This window comes from Homo sapiens, chromosome X (genome assembly GCF_000001405.40).
Source record: "Homo sapiens chromosome X, GRCh38.p14 Primary Assembly".
NCBI lineage: Eukaryota > Metazoa > Chordata > Mammalia > Primates > Hominidae > Homo > Homo sapiens.
In genome coordinates this window covers 76312774-76334642 of record NC_000023.11, presented here as the reverse complement: position 1 = coordinate 76334642, position 21869 = coordinate 76312774, and the positions used below count along the sequence as shown (strand labels likewise).

At 39.1% G+C, this 21869-nt stretch overlaps 1 annotated feature.

The window, feature by feature from the left end:
• Positions 6114-6737: an enhancer, noted in NCBI's record as "H3K27ac-H3K4me1 hESC enhancer chrX:75548305-75548928 (GRCh37/hg19 assembly coordinates)". NCBI's record gives its function as "activates a minimal SCP1, AML or CMV promoter by ChIP-STARR-seq in naive H9 embryonic stem cells {active_cell/tissue: H9 hESC(naive)}" and the evidence as "EXISTENCE:reporter gene assay evidence [ECO:0000049][PMID:30033119]".

The window sequence follows — 21869 nt, the reverse complement described above, 5'->3', positions numbered from 1 at the left end:
TTTCTGAAAAAAAAAAGGGAAAGCAAGAAGGTTTAATTGGCTCATGATTCTGCAGGTTGTACAGAAAGCATAGCATCATCTGCTTCTGAGGAAGCCTCAGGAAGCTTCTCATCATGGCAGAAGGCAAAGGGAGAGCCGTAACATCACATGGTGAAAGCAGGAGCAAGATACTGAGACGAGAGGTGCTATACACTTTAAAATGACTAGCTCTCACAAGAATTCACTCACTATTATGAGAGTACCAAGGGGGAATACTGCTAAACCATTCATGAGAAGTCCACCCCCATGATTAAATCACCTCTCACCAGGTCCCACCTCCAACACTGGGGATTACATTTCAATATAAGATTTGGATAGGAACACACATACAAACAATATCAATTATAATTGACTGTAGCCCCCCTGTTGTACTATCACATACTAGGTTTTATTCATTCTTTCTATTTTTTTATACCCATTAACTATCCCTACATCCTCCCCAACCCCCTCCTACACTTCCCAGCCTCTGGTAACAATCCTTCTACTCACTATCTCAATGAATTTATTTTTTTCTATTTCTTCCTGGTCAATATTGGTAGGTTTTATGTTTCCAGAAATTTATTTATTTCTTCTAGATTTTTTAGTTTGTGCACATAGCAATGTACATAGTAGTCTCTGATGATCATTTCGTATTTCTGTGGAATCTATTGTGACCTCTATTATTTCTTCTAATATTTATTTGAATCTTCTCTTTCTTCTTGGTTAATCTAGCTAGTGGTCTATAAATTTCATTATTATTTCCAAGAAAAAATTTTTGTTAATAATTTGCACGGTTTTTGTGGTCTCAGTCTTGTTTATTATTGCTATAATCTTTGTAACTTCTTTTCTTAAGCTAACTTTGTATTTAGTTTGTTCTTGTTTCTCAAATTGCTTGAGGTGCAATGTTAAGTTGTTCATTTGAGATCTTTCTATGCCTTTGATGTAGGCATTTAATGCTGTCAACTTTCCTCTTAACACTACTTTTGCTGTATCCCAGAGGTTTTGCTATGTTGTATCTCTATTTTTGTTCATTTTAAAAACTTGTTTTATTTCTGCCTTAATTTTGTTGTTTACTCAAAAGTTATTCAGGAACAAGTTGTTTAGCTTCAGTGTACTTGTATAGTTTTGAGAGTTCCACTCGGAATTGTTTCTTATTTTATTTTATTGTGGTCCAAGATGATACTTGATAGAATTTTGCTTTTTATTGAATTTATTGACTTGTTTTATGGCCAAGGATAGGACCAATTTTGGAGGATGTTCCATGTGCAGATGAGAAAAAGTGTATTCTGCAGTTGCTGGGTAGAATGTTCTGTAAATGATGTAAATGTCTATTAGTTCCAATTGGTCAACAGTCTAGTTTAACTATAATTTTTTGTTAATTTTCTGCCTTGATGCTCTGCCTAGTGTTGTCAGTGTGGTGCTAAAGTCCCCCACTATTATTTTATTGCTGTTCATTTCTTTTTTTAAGCCTAGTGGTAGTTGTTTTATGAATCTGAGTGCTATTGTATTTAATGCATACATATTTAGAATACTTGTTCTATTGACCACTTTATCATTATACAAGGCTCTCCTTTGTCCTTTTTTTTACTGTTGTTGATTTAGAGTTTGTTTTATGTTTTATGTGATATATGAACAGCTGCTCCTAGTTACTTTTTTTCATGTATGTGATATATCTTTTCTCACATCTTTACTTTAAATCTGTAGGCGCCTTTAGCCATTTTCTGTGTCTCTTGTAGGCAGAAGGTGGTTGAGTCTTTTTCATTGTATCCAATTTGCCAGTCTATATCTTTTAAGTGGAACATTTAAACCAGGTGTGTTTAGAGTTAATATTGGTATCAGTGAGGTTTTCTTTTTGTCATAGTGTTTTTAGTTAGCTAATTTATAGTCTCCATTTTGTGACAGCTTTATAGGATGTGAATTTTGCACTTACATGTGATTTTATGATTATGAGTATCATCCTTTTGCTTTCATGCTTCTAACTCCTTTGAATATTTCTTGTAGGGCTGATCTAGTGGTGATAAATTCCTTTAGCATTTGCTTATCTTGGAAAGACTTTTTTCACCCTCATTTATGAAACTTAGTTTGGCAGGATATAAAATTTTGACTGGCATTTATTTCTTTAAGAAGGCTAAAAAGGTCTGTCTCGCTGGCATTCCAGGCGCCACTGGTGTATGAAAAAAACTCTTGCAGGTAGTTTGGTGTCTGTCCAAATGGCTGCCCAGTTTTGTGCTAAAACTCAGGGCCCTGGTGGCATAGGCACCTAAGGGAATCTCCTGGTCTGTGGGTTGTGAAGACTGTGGAAAAAGCATAGTATCTGGGGCCAGAGTGCACTATCCCTCATGGCACAGCCCCTCACAGCTTCCCTTGGCTAGGGGAGGGAGTTCCCTGACCCCTTGTGCTTCCCGGGTGAGGCAACACCCCAGCCTGCTTCTGCTCACCCTCTGTGGGCTGCACCCACTGTCTAATCAGTCCCAATGAGATGAGCCAGATACCTCAGTTGGAAGTGCAGAAATCATCCACCTTTTGCATTGATCTTGCTGGGAGCTGCAGACCAGAGTTGTTCCTATTTGGCCATCTTGACAGTCACCAGCCCCCCATCTCTTATAGCTTGTAGGCTTTCTGCTGAGAAATCTGCTGTTAATCTGATAGACTTTTCTTTATAGGTTACTTTGTGCTTTTTATTCTTTCTTTTGTCTTAACTTTGGATAAGGAAACTGTGGTATACATATATGATGGAATACTACTCAGGGATTTTTGTCACCAGCAGGAGTGTTTTGCAAGAGCTCCTGAAAGAATCACTAAATATGGAAAGGAAATACTGGTGCCAACAACTGCAAAAACACATTAAATTATAAAGACCAATAAAACTATGAAGAAACTGCATCAACTAGTGTGCAAAATAACCAGCTAGTATCATGATGACAAGATAAAATTCACACATAAAAATATTAAACTTAAAAGTAAATGGGCTAAATATCCCAAATAAAAGACATAGACTGGCAAATTGGATAAAGAGCCAAGACCCATCAGTGTGCTGTACTCAGGAGACCCATCTCATGTGCAAAGACACACATAGGCTGAAAATAAAGGAATGGAGGAAAATTTACCAAGCAAATGGAGAGTGGAAAAAAGCAGGAGTTACAATCCTGGTTTCTGACAAAAGACACTTTAAACCAACAAAGATCAAATAAGACAAGGAAGGGTATTACATAATGGTAAAGGGATCAATTCAACAAGAACAGCTAACTATCCTAAATGTATATGCACCCAACACATGAGCACTCGGATTCATAAAACAAGTTCTTAGAGACCTACAAAGAGACTTGGACTCCCACACAACAATAGTGGAAGACTTTAACACTCCACTGTCAATACTAGACAGATCAATGAGACAGAAAATTAGCAAGAATATTCAGGACTTGAACTCAGATCTGGGTCAAGTGGACCTAATAGATATCTACAGTATTCTCCACCCAAAATCAATACAATATACATTCTTCTCAGTGCTGCATGCATGGCATTTATTCTATAATAGACCCCATAATTGAAGTAAACTCCTCCTCAGCAAATGCAAAAGAACTGAAATCATAACAAACAGTCTCTCAGACCACAGTGAAATCTAATTAGAACTCAGGATTAAGAAACTCACTCAAAACCACACAACTACATGGAAATTGAACAATCTGCTCCTGAATGACTCCTGGGTAAATAATAAAATTAAGGCAGAAATCAAGAAGTTCTTTGAAATCAATGAGAACAAAGAGACAATGTACCAGAATCTCTCGGACACAGCTAAAGCAGTGTTAAGAGGCCCCACCCAGTGAGGAGGGATTGCTCAGGTTCAGACCTGAAGAGGCACTCTGACTGCAGTCTTCCACTGCTGGTGTGTTGGGCTGTGGGGAATACCTCTTGGGACCTGGCAATCAAACACCCCTGGCTCTAGCAGGGTAAAAGTGTTACCTGGAGCTATAGAGATGGCTGCCGCTCTTCCCCAGTTCTAGAAGCTTAGTGTGTTAGGCAGCTAGCAGTCCCAGTGTTGGCTGCCACCCTTCCCCCAAGGAACTCAGATGGCTTAGACAGCAGGCAGCAACAGCTGTGATGATGGCCACCCCTCTGCCAAGGAACTCAGCAGGCTTAAGCAGATTCTAGCTGAGTGGCTGTTGAGAGTCTGCACAGCTCCTTTGTTGGGACCCTAGGCCCCAGTGGCATGGGCTCATGAGTAGGATCTTTAATTCCATGGGTTGTACGGTTCTTTTGCACAGAAACTGTGCAAAAGCACAGTTTCCCAGGCTGGGTAGCACACTCACTCACTGCCTCCCTTGGTTGGGGGTTGGGGGCTTCTTTGCCCCATGTGGCTCTTAGAAGTGCCACCACACCACAGTGCTCTTTCTTCCTCTCTGTGGGTCATCCCAGCCGTCTAGTCAGTCCTGATGACAGAACCTGGATACCTCGGTTGCTGGTGCAGGATTCACACACTGTTTTAGTTCTTATTGATGGGAGTCTCTGATCTCTGCTATTTCAAGTCAACCATCATGGTCCCACTTCTCCAGATATCTCTTCAATATACTGATTTCCTTTCTTTTGGGTATATACCCAGCAGTGGGATTGCTGTATCATATGGTAGTTTAATTTTAGTTTTTGGGGGAAACTTCAAACTGTCTTCCATAGTGGTTGTATTAATTTACACTCCCACCAGCAGTGTACAAAGGTGCCCTTTTCTCCACATTCTCACCAGCCTTTGTTATTGTCTCCTTTTGAATATAAGGCATTTTGACTGGAGTGAGGTGATAACTCATTGCAGTTTTAATTTGCAGTTCTCCAATGATCAATGATGTTGAGCAACTTTTCATGTGTCTGTTTGGCATTTATATGTCTTCTTTTGATAAATGTCTATTCAAATCTTTTGCCCATTTTCTAAACTGGATTATTAGATTTTTTCTATAGAGTTGTTTGAGCTTCTTATATATTGTGGTTGTTAATTCCTTGTCACATGAGTAGTTTCAAAATATTTTCCTCCAATCTTAAGTTGTCTCTGCATTTTGTTGACTGTATCATTCATTGTTCAGAAGTTATTTAGCTTGGTAAAATCTTATTTATCAATTCCTGTTTTGGTTCACTGTGCTTGTGGGGTGTTGCTTGAGAAATTTTTCCCCTACCTTTGCCCTGGAAACTTTTCCTAAAGTTTTCTTATACTAATTTTTCACATTTTGAGATCTTAAATTTAAATCCATTTTGATTTGATTTTTGTATATGGTGAGACATAGGTGTCTAGTTTTATCATTCTGCATATAGATATTCAGTTTTTCCAGCACTATTTATTGAAGAGATTGTCTTTTCCCCAGTGTATGCTATTGACACCTTTCTTGAAAATGAAGTCACTAAAAATGCATGGAATTGTTTCTGAGTTCTGTATTCTGTTGCATTGGTATATGTGTCTGTTTTTATGGCAGGATCATGCTATTTTGGTTACTGTAGCTCTGTAATATAATTTGAAGTCAGATAATGTGACTCTTCCCATTTTATTCTTTTTGCTTAGGATAACATTGACAATTCTGGATTTTTAATGATTTCATAAAAATTTTATAGAAGCTTTTCTATTTATGTGAAGAATATAGTTGATATTAGGTTGGTGCAAAAGTAATTGATGTTTTTGCACTTAGAAACAACTGCGAGCCTACATCTTTTTCCCCTGCTGGATGCTTCCTGCCCTCGAACGTCGAACTCCAAGTTCTTCAGTTTTGGGACTTGGACTGGCTCTCCTTGCTCCTCAGCTTGCAGACAGCCTGTTGTGGGACCTTGTGATGATGAGGAGGAGCCAAGATGGCCGAATAGGAACAGCTCCGGTCTACAGCTCCCAGCGTGAGCGACGCAGAAGACGGGTGATTTCTGCATTTCCATCTGAGGTACCGGGTTCATCTCACTAGGGAGTGCCAGACAGTGGGCGCAGGCCAGTGTGTGTGCGCACCGTGCGCGAGCCGAAGCAGGGCGAGGCATTGCCTCACCTGGGAAGCGCAAGGGGTCAGGGAGTTCCCTTTCCGAGTCAAAGAAAGGGGTGACGGACGGCACCTGGAAAATCGGGTCACTCACACCCGAATATTGCGCTTTTCAGACCGGCTTAAGAAACGGCGCACCACGAGACTATATCCCACACCTGGCTCAGAGGGGTCCTATGCCCACGGAATCTCGCTGATTGCTAGCACAGCAGTCTGAGATCAAACTGCAAGGCGGCAACGAGGATGGGGGAGGGGCGCCCGCCATTGCCCAGGCTTGCTTAGGTAAACAAAGCAGCCGGGAAGCTCGAACTGGGTGGAGCCCACCACAGCTCAAGGAGGCCTGCCTGCCTCTGTAGGCTCCACCTCTGTGGGCAGGGCACAGACAAACAAAAAGACAGCAGTAACCTCTGCAGACTTAAGTGACCCTGTCTGACAGCTTTGAAGAGAGCAGTGGTTCTCCCAGCACGCAGCTGGAGATCTGAGAACGGGCAGACTGCCTCCTCAAGTGGGTCCCTGACCCTTGACCCCCGAGCAGCCTAACTGGGAGGCACCCCCCAGCAGGGGCACACTGACACCTCACACCGCAGGGTATTCCAACAGACCTGCAGCTGAGGGTCCTGTCTGTTAGAAGGAAAACTAACAACTAGAAAGGACATCTACACCGAAAACCCATCTGTACATCACCATCATCAAAGACAAAAAGTAGATAAAACCACAAAGATGGGGAAAAAGCAGAACAGAAAAACTGGAAACTCTAAAACGCAGAGTGCCTCTCCTCCTCCAAAGGAACACAGTTCCTCACCAGCAACAGAACAAACCTGGATGGAGAATGATTTTGATGAGCTGACAGAAGAAGGCTTCAGACGATCAAATTACTCTGAGCTACGGGAGGACATTTTAACCAAAGGCAAAGAAGTTGAAAACTTTGAAAAAAATTTAGAAGAATGTATAACTAGAATAACCAATAGAGAGAAGTGCTTAAAGGAGCTGATGGAGCTGAAAACCAAGGCTCGAGAACTACGTGAAGAATGCAGAAGCCTCAGGAGCCGATGCAATCAACTGGAAGAAAGGGTATCAGCGATGGAAGATGAAATGAATGAAATGAAGCGAGAAGGGAAGTTTAGAGAAAAAAGAATAAAAAGAAATGAGCAAAGCCTCCAAGAAATATAGGACTATGTGAAAAGACCAAACCTACGTCTGATTGGTGTACCTGAAAGTGATGTGGAGAATGGAACCAAGTTGGAAAACACTCTGCAGGATATTATCCAGGAGAACTTCCCCAATCTAGCAAGGCAGACCAACGTTCAGATTCAGGAAATACAGAGAACGCCACAAAGATACTCCTCGAGAAGAGCAACTCCAAGACACATAATTGTCAGATTCACCAAAGTTGAAATGAAGGAAAAAATGTTAAGGGCAGCCAGAGAGAAAGGTCGGGTTACCCTCAAAGGAAAGCCCATCAGACTAACAGCGGATCTCTCGGCAGAGACCCTACAAGCCAGAAGAGAGTGGGGGCCAATATTTAACATTCTTAAAGAAAAGAATTTTCAACCCAGAATTTCATATCCAGCCAAACTAAGCTTCATAAGTGAAGGAGAAATAAAATACTTTACAGACAAGCAAATGCTGAGAGATTTTGTCACCACCAGGCCTGCCCTAAAAGAGCTCCTGAAGGAAGCATTAAACATGGAAAGGAACAACCGGTACCAGCCGCTGCAAAATCATGCCAAAATGTAAAGACCATCGAGACTAGGAAGAAACTACATCAACTAATGAGCAAAATCACCAGCTAACATCATAATGACAGGATCAAATTCACACATAACAAAATTAACTTTAAATATAAATGGACTAAATTCTGCAATTAAAAGACACAGACTGGCAAGTTGGATAAAGAGTCAAGACCCATCAGTGTGCTGTATTCAGGAAACCCATCTCACATGCAGAGACACACATAGGCTCAAAATAAAAGGATGGAGGAAGATCTACCAAGCCAATGGAAAACAAAAAAAGGCAGGGGTTGCAATCCTAGTCTCTGATAAAACAGACTTTAAACCAACAAAGATCAAAAGAGACAAAGAAGGCCATTACATAATGGTAAAGGGATCAATTCAACAAGAGGAGCTAATTATCCTAAATATTTATGCACCCAATACAGGAGCACCCAGATTCATAAAGCAAGTCCTCAGTGACCTACAAAGAGACTTAGACTCCCACACATTAATAATGGGGGACTTTAACACCCCACTGTCAACATTAGACAGATCAACGAGACAGAAAGTCAACAAGGATACCCAGGAATTGAACTCAGCTCTGCACCAAGCAGACCTAATAGACATCTACAGAACTCTCCACCCCAAATCAACAGAACATACATTTTTTTCAGCACCACACCACACCTATTCCAAAATTGACCACATACTTGGAAGTAAAGCTCTCCTCAGCAAATGTAAAAGAACAGAAATTATAACAAACTATCTCTCAGACCACAGTGCAATCAAACTAGAACTCAGGATTAAGAATCTCACTCAAAGCCGCTCAACTACATGGAAACTGAACAACCTGCTCCTGAATGACTACTGGGTACATAACGAAATGAAGGCAGAAATAAAGATGTTCTTTGAAACCAACGAGAACAAAGACACCACATACCAGAATCTCTGGGACACATTCAAAGCAGTGTGTAGAGGGAAATTTATAGCACTAAATGCCTACAAGAGAAAGCAGGAAAGATCCAAAATTGACACCCTAACATCACAATTAAAAGAACTAGAAAAGCAAGAGCAAACACATTCAAAAGCTAGCAGAAGGCAAGAAATAACTAAAATCAGAGCAGAACTGAAGGAAATAGAGACACAAAAAACCCTTCAAAAAATCAATGAATCCAGGAGCTGGTTTTTTGAAAGGATCAACAAAATTGATAGACCACTAGCAAGACTAATAAAGAAAAAAAGAGAGAAGAACCAAACAGACACAATAAAAAATGATAAAGGGGATATCACCACCGATCCCACAGAAATACAAACTACCATCAGAGAATACTACAAACACCTCTACGCAAATAAACTAGAAAATCTAGAAGAAATGGATACATTCCTCGACACATACACTCTCCCAAGACTAAACCAGGAAGAAGTTGAATCTCTGAATAGACCAATAACAGGCTCTGAAATTGTGGCAATAATCAATAGTTTACCAAGCAAAAAGAGTCCAGGACCAGATGGATTCACAGCCGAATTCTACCAGAGGTACAAGGAGGAACTGGTACCATTCCTTCTGAAACTATTCCAATCAATAGAAAAAGAGGGAATCCTCCCTAACTCATTTTATGAGGCCAGCATCATTCTGATACCAAAGCCGGGCAGAGACACAACCAAAAAAGAGAATTTTAGACCAATATCCTTGATGAACATTGATACAAAAATCCTCAATAAAATACGGGCAAACCGAATCCAGCAGCACATCAAAAAGCTTATCCACCATGATCAAGTGGGCTTCATCCCTGGGATGCAAGGCTGGTTCAATATACGCAAATCAATAAATGTAATCCAGCATATACACAGAGCCAAAGACAAAAACCACATGATTATCTCAATAGATGCAGAAAAAGCCTTTGACAAAATTCAACAACCCTTCATGCTAAAAACTCTCAATAAATTAGGTATTGATGGGACGTATTTCAAAATAATAAGAGCTATCTATGACAAACCCACAGCCAATATCATACTGAATGGGCAAAAACTGGAAGCATTCCCTTTGAAAACTGGCACAAGACAGGGATGCCCTCTCTCACCACTCCTATTCAACATAGTGTTGGAAGTTCTGGCCAGGGCAATCAGGCAGGAGAAGGAAATAAAGGGTATTCAATTAGGAAAAGAGGAAGTCAAATTGTCCCTGTTTGCAGACGACATGATTGTTTATCTAGAAAACCCCATCGTCTCAGCCCAAAATCTCCTTAAGCTGATAAGCAACTTCAGCAAAGTCTCAGGATACAAAATCAATGTACAAAAATCACAAGCATTCTTATACACCAACAACAGACAAACAGAGAGCCAAATCATGGGTGAACTCCCATTCACAATTGCTTCAAAGAGAATAAAATATCTAGGAATCCAACTTACAAGGGATGTGAAGGACCTCTTCAAGGAGAACTACAAACCACTGCTCAAGGAAATAAAAGAGGACACAAACAAATGGAAGAACATTCCATGCTCATGGGTAGGAAGAATCAATATCGTGAAAATGGCCATACTGCCCAAGGTAATTTACAGATTCAATGCCATCCCCATCAAGCTACCAATGACTTTCTTCACAGAATTGGAAAAAACTACTTTAAAGTTCATATGGAACCAAAAAAGAGCCCGCATTGCCAAGTCAATCCTAAGCCAAAAGAACAAAGCTGGAGGCATCACACTACCTGACTTCAAACTATACTACAAGGCTACAGTAACCAAAACAGCATGGTACTGGTACCAAAACAGAGATATAGATCAATGGAACAGAACAGAGCCCTCAGAAATAATGCCGCATATCTACAACTATCTGATCTTTGACAAACCTGACAAAAACAAGCAATGGGGAAAGGATTCCCTATTTAATAAATGGTGCTGGGAAAACTGGCTAGCCATATGTAGAAAGCTGAAACTGGATCCCTTCCTTACACCTTATACAAAAATCAATTCAAGATGGATTAAAGACTTAAACGTTAGACCTAAAACCATAAAAACCCTAGAAGAAAACCTAGGCATTACCATTCAGGACATAGGCGTGGGCAAGGACTTCATGTCCAAAACACCAAAAGCAATGGCAACAAAAGCCAAAATTGACAAATGGGATCTAATTAAACTAAAGAGCTTCTGCACAGCAAAAGAAACTACCATCAGAGTGAACAGGCAACCTACAACATGGGAGAAAATTTTCGCAACCTACTCATCTGACAAAGGGCTAATATCCAGAATCTACAATGAACTCAAACAAATTTACAAGAAAAAAACAAACAACCCCATCAAAAAGTGGACGAAGGACATGAACAGACACTTCTCAAAAGAAGACATTTATGCAGCCAAAAAACACATGAAGAAATGCTCATCATCACTGGCCATCAGAGAAATGCAAATCAAAACCACTATGAGATATCATCTCACACCAGTTAGAATGGCAATCATTAAAAAGTCAGGAAACAACAGGTGCTGGAGAGGATGTGGAGAAATAGGAACACTTTTACACTGTTGGTGCGACTGTAAACTAGTTCAACCATTGTGGAAGTCAGTGTGGCGATTCCTCAGGGATCTAGAACTAGAAATACCATTTGACCCAGCCATCCCATTACTGGGTATATACCCAAAGGACTATAAATCATGCTGCTATAAAGACACATGCACACGTATGTTTATTGCGGCACTATTCACAATAGCAAAGACTTGGAACCAACCCAAATGTCCAACAATGATAGATTGGATTAAGAAAATGTGGCACATATACACCATGGAATACTATGCAGCCATAAAAAATGATGAGTTCATATCCTTTGTAGGGACATGGATGAAATTGGAAACCATCATTCTCAGTAAACTATCGCAAGAACAAAAAACCAAACACCACATATTCTCACTCATAGGTGGGAATTGAACAATGAGATCACATGGACACAGGAAGGGGAATATCACACTCTGGGGACTGTGGTGGGGTCGGGGGAGGGGGGAGGGATAGCATTGGGAGATATACCTAATGCTAGATGACACATTAGTGGGTGCAGCGCACCAGCATGGCACATGTATACATATGTAACCAACCTGCACAATGTGCACATGTACCCTAAAACTTAGAGTATAATAAAAAAAAAAAAAAAGAAGAAGCAACTGCAATATTTGGATAGAAAATGCATTGAATCTGTAGATTGCTTTGGGAAGTGTGGACATTTTAACAATATTAATTCTTTCTATCCATGAACATAGAATTTTTTTATTTTTTCTGTCCTCTTCAATTTCTCTTATCAGTGTTTTATACTTTTCATTATAGCAATCTTTCACTACTTTGCTTAATTTCTGGGTATTTAGTTTTATGTATGGCTATTGTAAACGGAATTACTTTTTAAATTGTTTTTAGATTGTTCACTGTTGGCATATAGAAATGCTACAGATTTTTGTATGTTGATGTTGTATGCTGCAACTTTACTGAATTTATTTTTTCCAATGTTTATTAGTAAAATCTTCAGGGTTTTTCATATATAAGATAATATTATCTGCAAACAAAAATAACTTGACTTCTTTTATTCTAATTTGGATGTCCTTTATTTTTTCTGTTGACTCATTGTTCTAGCTAGGGCTTCCTGTACCATGTTAAATAACAGTGATGAAGATGGGCATTCTTGGCTTGTTCCAGATCTTGGAAAAAGTCTTTCAGTTTTTCTTTATTTAGTATTATACTAACTGTCAGTCTGTAATGTATGTCTTTTGTTGTGTTGAGGTATGTTTCTTCCACTTCCAGTTTTTGAGGGTTTTTTTTTATTATTATGAATGGATGTTGAGTTTTATCAAATGTATTTTCAGTATCAATTGAAATAATCATATGGTTTTTATACTTCATTCTGTTGATATGATATATCACATTAATTGGTTTGCATATGTTGAATGATCCTTGCATACCAGGGATAAATCTCACTTGGTCATAATGATTGCTCTTAATAATATGCTGTTGAATTCAGTTTGCTAGTATTTGTTGAGGATCTTTGCATCAATATTCATAAGTAACATTAGCCTATAGTTTTCTTTTTTCTGATGTGTCTTTTTCTGGTTTTGGTATCAGAGTAAAACTGGTCCCATAGAAGAGATTTGGAAATATTTCCTCCTCTATTTTTCCAAACAGTTCGAGTAGGATTAGTATTAGTTTTTAATTTTTACTTAAATGTTTGGAAAAATTCAGCAGTAAAGCCGTCTGTTCCCAGGCTTTTCTTCACTGGGAAACTTTTTGTTACAGCTTTGATTTCATTCCTTCTTATAAATCTGTTCAAGTTATAGATTTACTTCTGGTTCAATCTTTATAGGTTGTATGTGTCTAGGAAACTGTTCATTTCTTTTAGATTTTCCAACTTATTGGCATATAGTTGCTCATAGTAGGCACTAATAATCCATTGAATTTGTGAAGTATCTGTTGTAATGTCTCTTTTTTCATTTTTGATTGTATTTATTTGCATATTCTCTGCTTTAGTTCTTAGCCTCACCAAAGGTTTGTCAATTTTTTTAACATTTCAAAAACAATTTTTTGTTTTATTCATATTTTCTATTCTTCTCTCCATTTCAATTATATTTATTTCTTCTTTGGTCTACATTTTTTCCTTCTACTAATTTTGATATGGTTTGCTCTTACTTTTAGTTCTTTATGTTTTATCATTATATTGTTTATTTGAGATTTTTCTTCTTTTTTGATGTAGGCACCTATAGCTATTAATTTCCCTTAGTACTGCTTTGGCTGTACACCATAGGTTTTGATATATTGTGTTTTCATTATCATTTGTTTCAAAACAATTTTCAATTTCCTTCTTAATTTCTTCAGTGACCCACTGATCATTCAGAAGTATACAGTTTAATTTCCAGGTATTTATATAGTTACCAAAATTCCTATTCTTATTAATTTCTGGTTTTCCTTTATTGTGGTCAGAGAAGACGCTTGATATTATTTCAATGCTTTTGAATGTTTTAAGACTTGTTTTGTGACCTGACATAAGGTCTTTTTTGAGAATGATTCATGTGCTGAAGATAAAAATGTGCATTCTGGAGCTGTTGGATTAAACATTTATCACACAAGAGCAGCTAGATTCATAAAGCAAGTTCTTGAAGACCCTCAGGAATACTTAGATTCTCACACAATAATAGTGGGAGACTTTAACACTTCACTGACAATATTAGATCACCAGGACAGAAAATTCACAAAGATATTTAGGACTTGAACTCAGCACTGGATCAAAAAGTCCTGATAGATAGCTACAGCATTCTCCACTGAAAAACAAAACAATATGCATTTTTTCTGATTGACACATGGCACATACTCTAAAATTGATTACATAATTGGAAGTAAAACACTCCTCAGCAAATGCCAAAAAACTGAAATCATAACATATAATCTCTCAAGGACAGTGCAATCAAATTAGAAATCAAGACTAAGAAATTCACTCAAAGCCATAGAATTAGATACAAATTTTTGCAGACAATGGATTAAACAAAAGTTTAATATGCAGCATATATAAGAAACTTGAACAAATTTACAACAGCAAAACGACCTCATAAAAAAACTAATATAGAGAGACGATGTTCAAAAGAAGACATGCATGCAGCCAACAATCATATAATACAAAGCTTAATATTGCTAATCATTAGAGAAATTCAAATCTAAACAAAAATGAGTTACCATCTCACACCAGTCAGAATGGTTATTATCAAAAAGTCAAAAAATAAAGGAGGCTGGCGAGGTTTTGGAGAAAAAGGAAGGCTTATATATTGTTGATGGAAAAGTCAATTAGTGAAAACATTGTGAAAGACAGTGTGGCGATTTCTAAAAGATCTAAAGACAGAAATACCACTCGACCCAGCAATTCCATTACTGGGTATACACCCAAAGGGATTTAAATTGTTCTATTATAAAGACACATGAATGAGTGGGTCATGGTGGATAGGAGGCAAAACTAGGTTGCAGCTGTGGACAGAGCAGCATGTGGAGACTTGTACTGTGAATTTTAGCTCCAGATCGACTGAAAGAACAAACCAGCAATCCTGAGAGGACAAACAGACCCTCTGAAGGAAGCAGGCTGCCCCTACAGGACCCAGGAGACACCCCAAATACTGTGAGTGCCCTAATTGTGGAAGTGGGAAAGGGAGACCCTCCTCTCCCAAATGCACACACCCACTGAAGAAGCTGAAGGTCTGTTTGCAGGAGAAGTTTCCGACTTTACCTGGAGCCAAATCAAGTTAGAGAGCTGAACCAAGCGAAATACAGGGGTAGAGGAAGCAGTGAAAAGGCCATGGGAGCTCACGGGTTCCCCAAGCAGCCCATTCCTGCCTGGCACCATAGGGATCCATCAGGAGGGTGTCCAGATGAGCAGGGGGTAAAATTCCACAGGCAGAAGGAATTCTCTACCTAAACTTTGTAACAGTTTGAACCAGGTGAGAAGCCTCCTGGCCAGAACTCAGGGGAGGGCGTGAATCTGGCTTACAGACTTCACAGGCTGGGGAAGAACTAAAGCCCTTTTCTTTCCCAGCTGGGAGGTGGAAAGCCCAGGAAAGTTTTCAACCCTGTCTAACCCTCCACCTAGAAAAAGACTCAGGGCTGTTGTTGGGGGTATGGTGAGAGAGAGGCCAGCCCTTCAGTTTGAGTGGGAGCTTGGTGAGGCCTGTGACTACCGGCTTTCCCCCACTTCCCTGACAACCTCCATGACTCAGCAGAGATAGCCATAATCCTCCTAGGTACACAACTACAGTGACCTGCAAATCTCAACCTCATCCCCCACAGCAGCCACAGCAAGACCCACCCAAGGAGAGTCTGAGCTCAGACATGACTAGCCATACCCCCACCTGATGGTCCTTTTCTATCCACCCTGGTAGCTGAAGACAAAGGGCATATAATCTTGGGAGCTCTAGGGCCCCACCAACCACTGGTTCCTCTCCACATTATTACAGCTGATGTTTTCTGTAAAGTCCCACCTCCTGGCAGGAGGCCAACCACTTCAAAAATAGAGCATTAAATTACCAAAGCTAATGACCCTTATGGAGTCCATTGCACCCTCCACCACCTCCACTAGAACAGGACCTGGTATCCACAGCTGAGAGGCCCATAGATAGTTCACATCATAGGACTCTGTGCAGACAACCCACAGTACCAGCCCAGAGCTGGGTAAACTTACTGGGTGGCTAGACCCAGAAGAGAGACAACAATCACCGCAGTTTAGCACACAGGAAGCCACATCCACAGGAAATGAGGGGAGAGTACTACATCAAGGGAACATCCTGTGGGACAAAAAAATCTGAACAAAAGCCTTCAGCCTTAGACCCTCCCTCTGACAGAGCCTACCCAAATGAGAAGGAATGAGAAAACCATCCCTGGTAATATGACAAAACAAGGCTCATCAACAACCCCCAAAAGTCACAGTAGTTCACCAGCAATGGATCCGAACCAAGAAGAAATCGCTGATTTACCTGAGAAAGAATTGAGTATGTTAGTTATTAACTTAATCAGGGAGGCACCAGAGAAAGTCAAAGCCCAAAGCAAGGAAACCCAAAAAATAATACAAGAAGTGAATGGAGAAATATTAAAGGAAATAGATAGCCTAAAGCAAAAACAACAAAAAATTCAGGAAACTTTGGACACACTTTTAGAAATGCGAAATGCTCTGAAAAGTCTCAGCAATAGAATTGAACATGTAGAAAAAAGAAATTTAGAGCTCAAAGAGAAGGTCTTCAAATTAACCCAAGCTAACAAAGACCAAAAAAAAAAAAATAAGAAAACACGAACAAAGCCTTCAAGAACTCTGGAATTATGCTAAATAACCAATCCTAAGAATAATCAGGCCAGGTGCGGTGGCCCATGCCTGTAATCCCAGCACTTTGGGAGGCTGAGGTGGGTAGATCAAAAGGTAAGGAGATCCAGACCATCCTGGCTAACACGGTGAAACCCTGTCTCTACTAAAAACACAAAAAATTAGCCGGGCGTGGTGGTGGTCACCTGTAGTCCCAGCTACTCAAGAAGCTGAGGCAGGAGAATGGTATGAACCCAGGAGGCAGAGATTGCAGTGAGCCGAGATCACATCACTGCCCTCCAGCCTGGGTGACAGAGTGAGACTCCATCTCAAAAAAAAAAAAAAAAAAAAAAAAAAAAAAAAAAAAAAGAAGAAGAATCAGTGTTCCTGAGGAAGAAGAGAATTCTGAAAGTTTGGAAAACATATTTGGAAAAATAATGGAGGAAAACTGCTTTGGTGTTTCTAGAGACCTAGGCATGCAAATAAGAAAAGCACAAAGAACACCTGTGAAATTCATCCCCAAAAGATCTTTGCCTAGGCACACTGTCATCAGGTTATCCAAAGTTAAGACAAAGGAAAGAATCTTAAGAGCTCTGAGACAGAAGCACCAGATAACTTATAAAGGAAAACCTATCAGATTAACAGTAGACTTCTCAGCTGAAACCCTACAAGATAACAGGGATTGGGGCCCTATCTTCAGCTTCCTCAAACAAAACAATTTTTAGCCCAAAATTTTGTATCTAGCGAAACTAAGCATCATATATGAAGGAAAGATACAGTCGTTTTCAGACCAAAAAAAAAAATGCTGAGAACATTCACCATTACCAAGCCACCACTACAAAAACTGCTAAAGGGAGCTCTAAATTTTGAAACAAATGCTGGAAACACATCAAAAGAGAAGATCTTTAAAGCATAAATCACACACGACTTATAAAACAAAAATAGAAGTTAAAGCACAAAGCAAGCAAACAAACAAAACAGTGTACACAGGAAATAAAGAGCATGATGAACCCAACGACCTCACATTTCAATACAAATATTGAATGTACATGGCCTAAATGTTCCACTTAAAAGATACAAAATTGCAGAATGGGTAAGAGCTCACCAATGATCTGCTGCCTTCAGGAGACCCACATAAGACATAAGAACTCTCATAAACTTAAAGTAAAAGGGTGGAAAAAGGAAATTCGTGGAAGTGGACACCAAAGGTGAGAAGAGCTGGCTATTTTTATATCAGACAAAACAAACTTTAAGGCAATGGAAGTTAAAAGAGACAAAGGGGGACATTACATAATGCTAAAAGGCCGTGTCTGAAAGGGATGCCTTCTCTCACCACTCCTATTCAACATAGTGTTGGAAGTTCTGGCCAGGGCAATCAGGCAGGAGAAGGAAAAAAAGGTATTCCATTAGGAAAAGGGGAAGTCAAATTGTCCCTGTTTGTAGATGACAAGATTGTATATCTAGAAAACCCCATCATCTCAGCCCAAAATCTCCTTAAGCTGATAAGCAACTTCAGCAAAGTCTCAGGATACAAAATCAATGTGCAAAAATCACAAGCATTCTTGTACACCAATAACAGACAAACAGAGAGCCAAATCATGAGTGAACTCCCATTCACAATTGCTTCAAAGAGAATTAAATACCTAGGAATCCAACTTACAAGGGATGTGAAGGACCTCTTCAAGGAGAACTACAAACCACTGCTCAATGAAATCAAAGAGGATACAAACAAATGGAAGAACATTCCGTGCTCATGGGTAGGAAGAATCAATATCGTGAAAATGACCATACTGCCCAAGGTAATTTATAGATTCAATGCCATCTCCATCAAGCTACCAATGACTTTCTTCACAGAATTGGAAAAAACTACTTTAAAGTTCATATGGAACCAAAAAGGAGCTCACATTGCCAAGTCAATCTTAAGCCAAAAGAACAAAGCTGGAGGCATCATGCTACCTGACTTCAAACTATACTACAAGGCTACAGTAACCAAAACAGCATGCTACTGGTACCAAAACAGAGATATAGACCAATGGAACAGAACAGAGCCCTCAGAAATTGTGTCACATATCTACAACTATCTGATCTTCGACAAACCTGAGAAAAACAAGAAATGGGGAAAGGATTCCTTATTTAATAAATGGTGTTGATAAAACTGGCTAGCCAGATGCAGAAAGCTGAAACTGGGTCCCTTCCTTACACCTTATACAAAAATTAATTCAAGATGGATTAAAGACTTAAATGTTAGACCTAAAACCATAAAAGCCCTGAAAGAAAACCTAGGCAATACCATTCAGGACATAGGCATGGGCAAGGACTTCATGTCTAAAACACCAAAAGCAATGGCAACAAAAGACAAAATTGACAAATGGGATCTAATTAAACTAAAGAGCTTCTGCACAGCAAAAGAAACTACCATCAGAGTGAACAGGCAACATACAGAACGGGAGAAAATTTTTGCAATCTACTCATCTTTCAAAGGGCTAATATCCAGAATCTACAATGAACTCAAGCAAATTTACAAGAAAAAAACAAACAACCCCATCAAAAAGTGGGCGAAGGATATGAACAGACACTTCTCAAAAGAAGATATTTATGCAGCCAAAAGACACATGAAAAAATGCTCATTACCACTGGCCATCAGAGAAACGCAAATCAAAACCACAATGAGATACCATCTCTCACCAGTTAGAATGGTGACCATTAAAAAGTCAGGAAATAACAGGTGCTGGAGAGGATGTGGAGAAATAGGAACACTTTTACACTGTTGGTGGGACTGGAAACTAGTTCAACCATTGTGGAAGACAGTGTGGCGATTCCTCAAGGTCCTAGAATTAGAAATACCATTTGACCCAGCAGTCCCATTACTAGGTATACACCCAAAGGATTATAAATCATGCTGCTATAAAGACACATGCACACGTATGTTTATTGTGGCACTATTCACAAGAGCAAAGACTTGGAACCAACCCAAATGTCCAACAATGATAGACTCTATTAAGAAAATGTGGCACATATACACCATGGAATACTATGCAGCCATAGAAAAGGATGAGTTCATGTCCTTTGTAGGGACATGGGTGAAGCTGGAAACCATCATTCTCAACAAACTATCACAAGGACAAAAAACCAAACACTGCAGGTTCTCACTCATCGGTGGAAATTGAATGATGAGAACACATGGACACAGGAAGGGGAACATCACACACCAGGGCCTGTATTGGGGTGGGCGGAGGGGGGAGGGATAGCATTAGGAGATATACCTAATGTTAAATGACGAGTTAGTGGGTGCAGCACACCAACATGGCACATGTATACATATGTAACTAACCTGCACGTTGTGCACATGTACCCTAAAACTTAAAGTATAATAAAAAGTAAAAATAAAAAATAATAAAAGGCCTTGTCCAACAGGAAAATATGACAATCCTAAACATATATGCACCTAACACTGGAGCTCCCAAATTAATAAAACAATTAGTAATAGACCTAAAAAATGAGATATACAGCAACACAATGATAGTGGGGGATTTCAATACTCCACTGACAGCACTAGACAGGTCATCAAGACAGAAAGTCAACAAAGAAACAATGGATTTAAACTATACCTTGGAATAGATGGACTTAACAGATATATACAGAACATTTCATTCAACAACTGCAGAATACACATTCTATTCAACAGCACACGAAATTTCCTCCAAGATGGACCATATAATAGGTTACAATATGAGCCTCAGTAAATTTAGGAAAATTGAAATTATATCAAGCACTCTCTCAGACCACAGTGAAATAAAACTGGAAATCAATCCCAACAGGAAACTTCAAAAACATGTAAATACATGGAAATTATGTAACTGTCCCAGAATGAGCATTGGGTCAAAAACAAAATCAAGATGGAAATTCAAAAATTCTTCCAACTGAATCACAAGAACAACAAAACCTATCAAAACCTCTTGGATACAGCTGAGACAGTGCTAAGAGGAAAGTTCATACCCCTAAATGCCTACATCAAAAAGACTGAAAGAGCACAAACATTCAATCTGCGGCCACACCTGATGGAAATAGAGAAACAAGAGCAAAGCAAATGCAAACACAGCAGAAGAAAAGAAATAACCAAGATCAGAGCAGACCTAAATAAAAATGAAACAAAAAAATACAAAAGATAAATGAAGGAAAAATCTGGTTTTTTGAAAAGATAAATAATATTGATAGACCATTAGCAAGATTAACCAAGAAAAGAAGAGAGAAAATCCAACTAACCTCACTAAGAAACAAAACAAGAGATATTACAGCTGACACCACTGAAATACGGAAGATCATTTAACGCTATTATGAACACCTTTACACACATAAATAGAAAATCTAGAACAGGTGGATAAATTCCTGGAAAAATACAACCCTCCTAGCTTAAATCAGGAAGAATTAGATCCCCTGAATAGAACAATAACAAGCAGCAAGATTGAAATGGTAATTTAAAAATTACCAACAACAACAACAACAACCAAAGTCTAGGAGCAGATGGATTCACAGCAGAATTTTACCGAACATTCAAAAAAGAATTGGTACCAATCCTTTTGATACTATTCCACAGTATAGAGAAAGAAGGAATTTTCCCTAATTAAATCTGTGAAGCCAACATCACCCTAATACCAAAACCAGGAAAGGACACAACCAAAAAGAAAACTGCAGACTGATATTCTTGATGAATATAGATGCTAAAATCCTTAACAAAATACCAGCTAACTGAATCCAACAACTTATCAAAAAGATAATCCACCATGATCAAGTGAGTTTCATACCAGGAATGCAGGAATGGTTTAACATACACAAGTCAATAAGTGTGATACACCACATAAACAGAATTAAAAACAAAAATCACATGATCATCTCAACAGATGCAGAAAAAGCATTCAAAAAAATCCACCATCACTTTATTATTAAAACTCTCATCAAAATCAGCAAACATGGAACATACCTTAATGTAATAGAAGCCATCTGTGATGAACCCACAGCCAACATAATACTGACTGGGGAAAAGTTGAAAGCACTCTCTCTGAGAACAGGAACAAGACAAGAATGTCCACTCTCACCACTCCTCTTCAACATAGTACTGGTAGTCTTAGCCAGAACAATCAGACAAGTGAAAGATGTACAGGGCATCCAAATCGGTGAAGAGAAAGTCAAACTGTCTCTGTTTGACGACTGTATTATCATTTACCTTGAAAATCCTAAGGACTCCTCAGGAAAGCTCCTAGAACTGATAAAATAATTCAGCAAACTATCTGGATACAAGATTAATGTACACAAATCAGTAGCTCTTGTACACATCAACAGCAACCAAGTGGAGAATC